This window comes from Homo sapiens, chromosome 7, assembly GCF_000001405.40.
Source record: "Homo sapiens chromosome 7, GRCh38.p14 Primary Assembly".
Classification (NCBI taxonomy): domain Eukaryota; kingdom Metazoa; phylum Chordata; class Mammalia; order Primates; family Hominidae; genus Homo; species Homo sapiens.
The window spans coordinates 71,444,084-71,455,591 of NC_000007.14; the positions used below are offsets into that span (position 1 = coordinate 71,444,084).

At 41.5% G+C, this 11,508-nt stretch overlaps 1 protein-coding gene across 4 annotated transcripts in view, besides 1 other annotated feature; it reads left to right on the forward strand.

Annotated features, from left to right (window-relative positions):
• The window catches only part of GALNT17 (polypeptide N-acetylgalactosaminyltransferase 17), a 581,456-nt gene that overhangs the window by 311,940 nt on the left and 258,008 nt on the right, over positions 1-11,508 (forward strand). The window lies entirely within an intron of this gene.
• Positions 9,011-9,512: an enhancer, noted in NCBI's record as "NANOG hESC enhancer chr7:70918079-70918580 (GRCh37/hg19 assembly coordinates)". NCBI's record gives its function as "activates a minimal SCP1, AML or CMV promoter by ChIP-STARR-seq in primed H9 embryonic stem cells {active_cell/tissue: H9 hESC(primed)}" and the evidence as "EXISTENCE:reporter gene assay evidence [ECO:0000049][PMID:30033119]".

The following is an 11,508-nucleotide window of genomic DNA, read 5'->3' on the forward strand; positions in this document are numbered from 1 at the left end:
CAGTGTCCCTGGCCTGGCTGGCCACTCCTTGCCCTGCTGGCATTCCCAGAAGACATCTGCCATGGGCCTAACTTGGGATCTGACCTCTCAGCTTCCTCAGGGCCCATCTGACCCAGATCTCTATGGCTCATGCTGGCTGCAAACACCTGAGCCTTGGCCACATTCCCCTACCCATCCCAGCCCCAGCTGCAGGCTTCATTCCTGCCCAGGGAAAAGCCATCAACAACTCTTCTGCCTTCCCTCGCCACTTCCCCTTTCCTTCCTATGAGAACCAAGCAGAGGGGCTAATGTACGTGGCCTCCTGCCATGTGGCCACACTAAACCATCAGGTTCATGAGGGTGGGCTTAGGAGGATATAGACACCTGCAGGCAGCTTCATGACACACCCACCGTGGAAAACAGGGGTGTCTTCCGTAGCAAACTCACTATCCAACACATCTCTCCCTCTCTGGGCCAAAATGTTAACTGAGGGCCGGGTGCAGTGGCTCACGCCTGTAATCCCAGCACTCTGGGAGGCCGAGGCAGGTAGATCACTTGAGGTTAGGAGTTCCAGACCAACCTGGCCAACATGGTGAAACTCTGTCTTTACTAAAAATACAAAAATTGACTGGGCAGCGCCTGTAATCCCAGCTACTCAGGAGGCTGAGGCAAGAGAATTACTTGAATCCGGGAGGTGGAGGCTGCAGTGAGGCGAGATGGTGTCACTGCACTCTAGCCTGGGCCAGCGAGACTCTGTCTCAAGGAAAACAAACAAACAAACAAACGAAATGTTACCTGAAAAAAACTGGAGTTCATTTGCCTGAGGATTAACAAATGACTCTCCAGGAGAACGCAGGCTTTGATCAGTAGGTGTTTTATTACTCATCACAAGTAAGGACAGCACTGGGAATATTCTCCAAAGCGGTGTCTCTGGAGGGAAAGTGACAGGAGGGTTTTATGGGGGAATGGAGAGGGGAGAGGGTGCATCAGCACATGTAGAGGAGGGGTCTCAGTGGTGCAGATGCGGAGAGCCATCATGCCATCACCCAGTCACATGGGATGGTAATGGAGCTATAGCACCTCCCAGGGTGGAGCCACCTTTTTTTTTCTTTCTTTCTTTTTTTTTTTTTTTTTGAGACAGATTCTCACTCCGTCACCCAGGCTGGAGTGCAGTGGCACAATCTCAGCTCACTGCAACCTCCACCTCCCAGGTTCAAGCGATTCTCCTGCCTCAGCCTCTCGAGCAGCTGGGATTACAGGTGCTCACCACCACGCCCGGCTAATTTTTGTATTTTTGTTTGTTTTTTTTTTTTAAGTGTAGATGGGGTTTTGCCATGTTGGCCAGGCTGGTCTCGAACTCCTGACCTCAGGTGATTCACCCACCTTGGCCTCCCAAAGTGCTGGGATTACACGTGTGAGCCACTGCGCCCGGCCAGGGTGGAGGCTTCAACATGGTCATGAGGAAGGTTCATTCAGGTTCATCTCTAAGTTGCTGGGGTCTGTCAGGAGCTGGTTCCAGACAACTAGGTAACCACATTTTGCACAGGGCTTGGGAAGAAACAGGCTGCAAGGTAGGAGACTGTAAAATAGGCTGATTGCTGAAATCGATTAAATTCTTATAATTCCTGGAGACTGGAGACTGTCCCTTTCTGCTTCCAGAAACATGTCATCTCTTACCTCTCCCAGCTCCCTGGACCTTCTTTGCTTCCCACAGGACCTTGGGCGGGAAGCTGGGCTTTCCCCTGGAGTGCTCCTTAATGCCTCTGCACACTCAGCTTTAGCTGTGATGACAGGAGAGAGTCCTAAGTGATCCGCCTACCTTGGCCTCCCAAAGTGCTGGTATTACAAGTGTGAGCCACTGCCTTATAGTATTTTCTTAAAAGTAACTTTATTCAGGGGGAAAAAAATCCCCTAAATCTTGTAGTCGTTTCTGAGAAACGGGAATATTTTCTTGAAGAAGCTTGAAATTGCAGAGGCTTAAATCTTAAATTATATGAGGAGGGAGGAGCAGAGGCTGGCAGCCATGAAATTAGAGCTCCATAATTTGTCTACAGCCATTCAAGAGGGGAAGAAATAAGAATGATTTTCTGCTCTGCTTCCAATCCAGATGTTGTCTTCCAGCCCAGTAGAGAAGAACAAGACCAGAGCCTAGGAGACCAATCACTTTAAAAATTATAGTGTAAAAATACTTTTTTTATTATGTATTCATTATAAAATTTATACTGTATCCATTATAAATTTAATATTCACTGTAAAAATCAAAAATACAAAAGATCATTAGATAATCACTGATAATCATAACACCCAACGATAACCATAACCAATGTTAATATTTCATGAGTAGCTTTAATATTTCACATTATTTTTTACTCCTACAAATAATGTAAAATTTATATTTTCATATAAACATTTTGTATGTACATGTTTAAAAGTCAAATATATATTCTACAAGGCTCTACCTACTCTTTAGAGGTACCACTTTATTTATTTACTTATTTATTTTGAGGTGGAGTTTTGCTCTAGTCGCCCAGGCTGGAGTGCAATGGCATGATCTCGGCTCACTGCAACCTCTGCCTCCTGGGTTCAAGTGATTCTTCTGCTTCGACCTCCAGAGTAGCTGGGATTACAGGCATGTGCCACCATGCTCAGCTAATTTTTGTATTTTTAGTAGAGACAGGGTTTCACCACATTGGCCAGGCTGGTCTCGAACTCCTGACCTCAAGTGATCTGTCTGCCTCTGCCTCCCAGAGTGCTGGGATTACAGGCATGAACCACTGCGGCCGACTCTATTCTTTTAAATATGCCTTTTGTTTACCTCTATATCTCTAAATAGTACACTTTAGTCCTACATCATGCATTTTGAGATGTGGGCATTACTTCTTGACTTTGACTATGGGAGACAAGGTATTAACTGTTATTCACTCACCCGCATCCACCTCTCCCGCAAATTCACACACTACTCATTCCTTTGCTGAGGGCTTTTCCCGCCACACCAGCCAAATCTTCAGTTCTCTGATTCTCAACACTGGGTTTCCTACAATTCAATTCAATTATGACACTGATTACCCAGAGTAAGCATTCGAATCCACAGGTTTAAGGGCTCAGTCCCAAAGACTGCTCCCACTTTAGGCACTAGTCATAAATATCAGGTCTCCAGGCTATCCATATTTTTGTCCAACATGGCTACAAATTTGGGGTTTCCCACCACCTCCCTTCAGGTTTGATGATTTGCTAGAATGAATCACAGAGCTCAAGAAAACACTGCGTACTGTTACAGGTTGAGCATCCTAAATTGGAAAATCTGGAATTCAAAATGCCCCAAAATCCAACTTTTTGAGTGTCCACATAATGCTCAAAGGATAATGCTTATTGGGAAGTATTTTGCATTTTCTGACATAGAATGCTCAGTTGGTAAGTATAATGCAAATAATCTAAAATCAAAAAAAAAATCTGAGATTTGCAACATGGGTCTCAAGTGTTTTGGTTAAGGGATACTTGACCTACACCAGTTCATAATAAAAGATGCAACCCCAGAATAGCTGAATGGAAGAAATGTGTGCCCACTCTTACACCACTTATTAATACTTATATTATTATAACTATTTGCATCTGATCCACATGGTATACTTTGGTTATTTTTCCCTTCCCTGCACAGCTTTTTGTTTTTCCTGTATTTAACCATTGCCTTTCTGTTTGTTTCCTTAATTTGTTTTCTATATACTGTTAACTAATTCAGCTACATGCTTTCTACCACTTGTCTGAATTCCCTCTCAGTCCTCTCAGCAACCTTAGATATTCTGTCTGCTTTATTTTCATGAAGAGAGCTCCCCAGGGTGCTATGGCCTCATCCATCAGGACTGGCTGCCCTCTAGCAGTGATCCTGGGATTCCTTTCACTTCTCTTCTGTGTCCCGGATCTCATGCCTTTATCTTTTTTAGCTTATTCTCTCATTTTATTGGTGCATATCTTCAAATAACTATTTTTAGTGCTTGTATGTGTAAAAATGTCTGGATTCTGCCTTCCACTTTGAATGACCTTGGCTTAGAATTTGAAGACAATATTCCATTGTCTTCTTACTTCCAACATGGCTATTGGAGAGTTCAGAGACATTCTGACTCCTAGTTCTTTCAATGTAACTTGTCTCTTTCTCTTTTGAAATTCTTTTATTCTGGGTGCTCTGAAATTTGGTGATGCTGTGTTTTGGAGTATATTTCTTTTTATTCATTGCACTGGCACTCAATAGAACTTTCCATTTGAAATGTGTGTGCATTGTTGATATCCTTACTTCGTGTGTATGTGTGTGTGTGTGTGTGTGTGGTCTCTATTTTTGGAACTCTTTTTGTTTTTGTTTGGGTGTTGAACCATCCTTGTGGACTGTTTCTTTGTTTTTCTTTAATCTCTGATTTTTCATCTTTTATCTTTTGTCTGTATTTCTGGGGTATTTTCTTAACTTTGTTTTTCTAAATTTTCTGTTTCTGCTTTTACATTTTTAATTTTCAAGGGTTCTTTTTGGTTCTTTATCGATCTTTTGCCATAACACTCAGTACTTGTTTTATCAATGCAATATCCTTTCTAATTATCTGAGACTGTGAATGTCATTTTTTCTTGAAAACAAAAGGCATGTATATCTTGCAAACATAATGTTGAATCAGAGAATACAGGCGCAAAAGGATGCATTACTATTTGATTCTTTTTATATAAATTTCAATTCCAAACTCATCAAGTTGTATACATTAACTATGTATGGATTTTTGTGTATGAATCATACCTTAATAAATAGTTTAAAAATAAATAAATTATAAAGCCAAGAAAAATTTAGCTGTTATTGGAAGTCAGGTAGCCAGTGGGGGTAATGACTGGGAGAGTGCATAGAAGGGATTTCTAGGACACTGGTTATCTTCTATTTCTTGACTTGGGTGATGGTTTAAACGGATGGATTCCATTTGTTAAAGTTGACAGCTGAACTTCTGAAACTTGTGTACTTCTCTATGTGTTTGCTCTACTTCAGTGAAAAGTTTTAATTAGAAATAACAGCTGCCTATTTTCTTTTTTTTTTTTTTTTTTTTTTGAGGCAGAGTCTCGCTCTGTCTCCCAGGCTGGAGTGCAGTGGCGCGATCTTGGCTCACTGCAGCCCCCACCTACCGGGTTCAAGCAATTCTCCTGCCTTAGTCTCCCGAGTAGTGGGATTATGGGCATATGCCACCACACCTGGCTAATTTTTGTACTTTTAGTAGAGATGGGGTTTCACCATGGCTGGTGTTGAACTCCTGACATCAAATGATCCACCCACCTTGGCCTCCCAAAGTGCTTGATTTTCTTATTTTTGTTTTTACCAGTGGATAATCACATTATGTGATTTTTTTTAATAAGTAAGTAATTTGCCTCTTTATTTCCTATCATTATATGTATATTTTTTACCTTAACTGCAGTCTGCAGAGCAATGTTGAGTATTAATGGTGAGAACAAATCTTTATCTCATTCCTGACTTAATGAAATACCTTGAATGTTTCACCATTATGACTCATATTGGCTGTTTTAAATAGACATCAGATTAGGGACATTTTCTGTCTAATTTACTCTGAGTTTTTCTTGGCGACACATATTGGATGTTTTCATTGCTTTTTTGGCATTTATTAAGGTATTTATATATTTTTCTCTTGATTTATTAATCTTTTGAATTATATTAATCGATTGTCTAACCGGGCGCGGTGGCTCACGCTTGTAATCCCAGCACTTTGGGAGGCTGAGGCAGGCAGATCACCTGAGGTTGGAAGTTCGAGACCAGCCTGACCAACATGGAGAAACCCCATCTCTACTAAAAATACAAAATTAGCCAGTCGTGGTGGCAGGTACCTGTAATCCCAGCTACTCGGGAGGCTGAGGCAGGAGAAATCACTTGAACCCGGGACGCAGAAGTTGTGGTGAGCCGAGATCGTGCCATCGCACTCCAGCCTGGGCAACAAAGAGCGAAACTCCCTCTCAAAAAAAAAAAAAAGATTGTCTAAAATATGACCATATTTGTATTTCTAGAGTAAACACTTCTTGGTCCTGGTTTATTAGTTGTTAGTATTTAAAGATTTTTTTTTTTTTTTTGAGACAGTCTTTCTCTGTCGCCCAGGATGGAGTGCAGTCGCGCGATCTCGGCTCACCGCAAACTCTGCCTCTCGGGCTCAAGAAATTCTCTTGCCTCAGCCTCGCGAGTAGTGGCATTACAGGCATGTGCCACAAGGTCTAGCTAATTTTTGTATTTTTAGTAGAGACGGGGTTTCGCCATGTTGGCCAGGCTGGTCTCGTCGCGACCTCAAGTGATCCACCTGTGTCGGCCTCCCAAAGTGCTGGAATTACAGGCATGAGCCAGTGCACCTGGCTTACTTGAAAATTTTAACCCTCAGTGGATTAGTGGAACTCGTGTACTTTTTCTTTTGTGTGTGCATGTGCTTTTTAAATGAAAAAGACAGCCTTGGTGAGATATAATTCACGTCATATATTTTAAACATTTAAAGTGTATAATTAAATGGTTTTTAGTACGTTCACAGAGTTCTGCAACCATCACTGCAGTTTTAGTATATGTGCTGCACCCTTAAAAGAAACGCCATTCTCATTTCCCTCTAACTCTCCCAGCCCCAGGCAACCACAAATCTATTTTCTGTCTCTTTGGATTTGCCTGTTCTGGATGTTTTACAGAAATGGAATAGGTGGTCTTTTGTGAGTGGCTTCTTTCTGTTAGCATCATGCTTTCAAGGCGTGTGTGCTGGCTTGAGTGCTTTTCTAAGAGCATTATATAAGCTTGGAGAAAATGATAAACTTTTAAATTTTATTTTCTGTTCTAGACTACTTCAGATTGCATGGCGTTTTTCTTTTTTTTATTCTTTTTTTTTTTTATTATACTCTAAGTTCTAGGGTACATGTGCACAATGTGCAGGTTTGCTACATATGTATACATGTGCCATGTTGGTGTGCTGCACCCATTAACTCATCATTCACATTAGGTATATCTCCTAATGCTATCCCTCCCCACTCCCTCCACCCCACAGCAGGCCCTGGTGTGTGATGTTCCCCTTCCTGTGTCCAAGTGTTCTCATTGTTCAATTCCCACCTATGAGTGAGAACATGTGGTGTTTGGTTTTTTGTCCTTGCAATAGTTTGCTGAGAATTGCATGACATTTTTCTAGTCCTCAAAAAATTGACAGAATTTACCTATAATACCCTCTGGGTCTAATGTCTTTCTGGATAGTCATTCTCGACAGCCTTTCCAGGATTTTCAGTGATTAGTCTATGCCAGTTTTCTACTCTGTCGCAGAAAGTTTTCTTGACCATTCTTCTACTCATCATTTAAAAATTTAAAAGCTTCTATATGTTTTTGGTAAGAGTTCTTTGCTCAGATCTAATAGCATTTATCAGTGTTTTTCTCTCCTTTAAAATGAGATTAATTTTAAAATCCTTTCGACGAACTAACTCCTTATTCTCGGTTCCCCTCTTTCCTTATATTTGAATTTTATTAATTCATTTTGTCTGTTCCTCTTTTCTCCTTGGTCTGCTTGCTCTCTTTCTGCCCTTTTGAGTTGAAATCTCAGTTCATTTATTTTCTTTTTGTCTTGCTTAATAGCAAAAGCATTTAATATTATGTATTTCCCTCAAGTATGGATCTTGCTACAGCTCATAAGTTTTTATATGTAGTGTTTGAGTTGTCACTGTTTTCTAGATAGTGTTTAATTCCAGACTTTCTTTCCTCTTTGGTCTAAGAGTTATTTAGAAGTATTTTTAAAAACCAAATCAATTTTTTAAATATAAGCTTCTATTCTTAATTTATTTCACCGAATTGTGGTTTTTTTTGTTTGTTTGTTTTTTTAAGAATTAAAATTTTGATTTGGGCACAGTGGCTCATGCCTGTAATCCCAACACTTTTGGAGGCCAAGGCAGGAGGATCTCTTGAGCCCAAGAGTTCAAGATGAGCCTGGACAATATAGCAAGACCCCAACTCTACAAAAAATGAAATGATAAATAAGTGATACATGATAAATAAATGACAAGAAAAATGATAAATAGGGCGCACACCTGTAGTCCCAGCTTCTTGGGAGTCTGAGATGGGAGGATCACTTGAGCCCAAGACTTTGAGGCTGCAGTGAGGTATGATTTCACCACTGCACTTCAGCCTGGGTGACAGAGTGAGGCTCTCTTTAGAAAAAAAAAAAAGATTTTAGGGCCAGGTGTGGTGGCTTACGCCTGTAATCCCAGCACTTTGGGAGGCTGAGGTGGGAGGATCACTTGAGGTCAGGAGTCCGAGACCAGCATAGCCAACAAGGTGAAACCCTGTCTCTACTAAAAATACAAAAATTAGGCAGGCATGGTGGTGTGCACCTGTAATCCCAGCTACTCAGGAGGCTGAGGCAGGAGAATTGGCTTGAACTTGGGAGGCGGAGGTTGCAGTGAGTCAAGGTCACACCATTGCACCCAGCCTGGGTGACAGAGAGAGACTCCGTCTCAAAAAAATTTAAAAATAAAAAAGGATTTTAGGGAGGCCTAATATATGATCAGTTTTTATAATGGCTGTTGGATAAAAAAGTATTTATTGGGTAGAAAAGTTGGTATGCATTTAAAAAAATCATTTGTATTTGCTTCCTTGGTTTGTTCCTGAGAAGCAGTATGAACTGAGCAGAGCAGGGGGTGACTCTGTCTACTTTCTAGTGCAGTATCTGATAAAAAGGGGCCTCTCTGGTGGATACAGGCCCAGAGGCTCTGGAGCAAGAATTAAGCATCTTGTTTTTTTGTTGTTGTTGTTTTCTGGCCAGTTATGTAAAGTATAGTCAGTGTTTTCTCTGTGCTGAATCATGGGTTGCTTTTTCTCAATTTTTCTCCATCTGCCTTAACATGATTGGTGATTCTACCTAGATCCTGGCCTTAGATTCTGTGTTGCTCTTATTATTCTGACTTCTGCCATCCATCATTTTCTCTGTTCTCTCTGGTGGTTTAGTAAGTCCCAGACCGGAAACTCCAGGAGGGTAAGAGACATGCCAACATTGTTCATTATTGTGTCTCCAGGGCATAAGTACCCTGCCTGGAATAGAGTAAATAAACATTTTTTTTTGCATGAATTTCAGTTGCGAGTGGCTGCCTGGGTAAAGGGGAGTGCTAACCAGATTTCATTTGGAACATCATTCATAATTATATTCCAGGTATCTTTTGTCTAGCATTATAACCCAGTTCACCAGCAAACTTGGTTCCACAGTTGTAGTAGTCTTTTGTCACATTGCTGATAAAGATATAACTGAGACTAGGAAATTTACAAGAGAAAGAGGTTTAATGGGCTCACAGTTGCATGTGGCTGGAGAGGCCTCACAATCATGGTGGAAGGGGAAAGGCACGTCTAACGTGGTGGTAGGCCAGAAAAAAGAATGAGAACCAAGCATAAAAGATTTCCCTTTATAAAACCATCAGATCTCATGAGACTTATTCACTACCATGAGAGCAGGTTGGGGGAAACTTCCCCCATGATTTAATTACCTCCCACTGGGTCCTTCCCACAACACGTGGGAATTATGGGAGCTACAATTCAAGATGAGATTTGGGAGGGGACACAGCCAAGCCATATCAACAATATTCATGGTTGACATTCTTTAATCACTATCCTGTGTATGTCAGATAGCAGATAAGAGGAAAATGTGAATGAGGCTCTGAATTAAGCCACATGTTCAGGATGCTGTCCCAGACTTCCGCTCTTGACTGTCTCATCTCTTTCAGCACCACCTTCTCTCCTTCTCTGCACAAATCCTCAGTGAGTGTTGAATATCTCATCAGGTCTGTTTGAGGACATCAGCAGACACTCCTTTTGGTTCTGGCATTCCAGCTCCCAAATGGGCTTTCCACGTCTTTCTTCCAAGAGCTTTTCTCACTGTGTTCTGGCTCTACTCAATGACTCACTTGCTAATCTCCCATATACCTATTCACACTATGATATCAAAAGCTCATATCACAACTTAATATGTCCCAGGGTATTGTCAACTGAAGAATGATCGGGTTCATACATTTGGAAAGGGGAGCTTTTTTAAAATTTTTAAGTTCCAGGGTACATGTGCAGGTTTGTTACAGAGGTAAACATGTGCCATGGTGGTTTGCTGCACCTAGCAACCCATCACCTAGGTATTAAGCCCAGGATGCATTGTCCCCCAGACTCCACCAACAGGCCCCAGTGTGTGTTGTTCCTCTCCCTGTGTCCATGTATTCTCATTGTTCAGCTCCCACTTACAAGTGAGAACATGTGGTATTTGGTTTTCTGTTCCAGTTTTAGTTTGCTGAGGATAACGGCTTCTGGCTTCATACATGTCACTCCAAAGGACATGATCTGGTTCCTTTGTATTATATTCCATGGTGTATATGTACCACATTTTCTTTATCCAGTCTATCATTGATAGGCATTTGGGTTGATTGGAAAGAAGAACTTTATTTCTCATAAATGGTTGCAGCCTTCCCAGGCCATTCTGACAGCCTGGGAAGTGTAGCCTCTGGTCAGAAGCCAGAAATACTTTGAGAGAAGGTCAAAGGTAACAAGAATTTATGCTGAGTGGGGTGGCTAAATGTATGTATTTAATAAGCTATAGGAGGAGTCATAAATATTTACCAAAGGAGAAATGTGTGCATGAACAATTCAGCTTTATGCCTCTTCATGAGTTGCATGTACAAAAATGGCAGTGTTAGCATGATCTGAGGGTGGAATTTTCAGCTCTCTGACATCAAAAGGTGAAATAGAGGACATGAAACCCCTCACTGCACATCCTCCGTTGAACTATTCCATGGTCAGTGGTCTCTTATCAAGAAGGAATCCTGGGCCAGGCATGATGGCACACACCTATAATCCAAGCACTTTGGGAGGTCAAGGCAGGCAGAATGGCTTGAGCTCGGGAGTTTGAGACCAGCCTGGGCAACATGGTGAAACCCCATTTCTACAAAAAAATACAAAAATTAGCCAGGTGTGGTGGTATGCATCTATAGTGGCAGCTACTCAGGAGGCTGAGATGGGCCCATTACATGAGCCTGGGAGGTCAAGGCTACAGTGAGCCATGACACATCACTGCACTCCAGCCTGGGCAGCAGAGCAAAATCTTGTTTCAAAAAAAAAAAAAAGAAGGAATGCTGGTCAGTTGTTCATGTTGAAACCATCAAAGGGAGGGGCAGCAGTCAGACAGTTGGCTGAAATAGTAGGTGGAGCCTATTGAAAGGGCTGGTTTCTGTTTGGCACCTAGGGTAGAAAGCTTAATGGCAGTTAGGGAGGGGGAGGTATAAAGAGGTGTGTTCAACCTCCCATCCTGTCATGGCTGGAAACTCAGTTTGAAGGTTGCTCTGGGGTCCTCTTTGCCAGGTGGGGTCCAGTCAGTCAGTTGAGGGGTTTTGGATTTTATTATTTCCCAGTATGAATATTTTCCAGGGTTTTGTTTTGTTTTTTGTTTTTGTTTTTTTTTTTGCATTTTAATAAGTCTGTATCCATCTTCTCATTTATTCATTTAGCAAACATTTCTTGAACATCACTATGAGGAA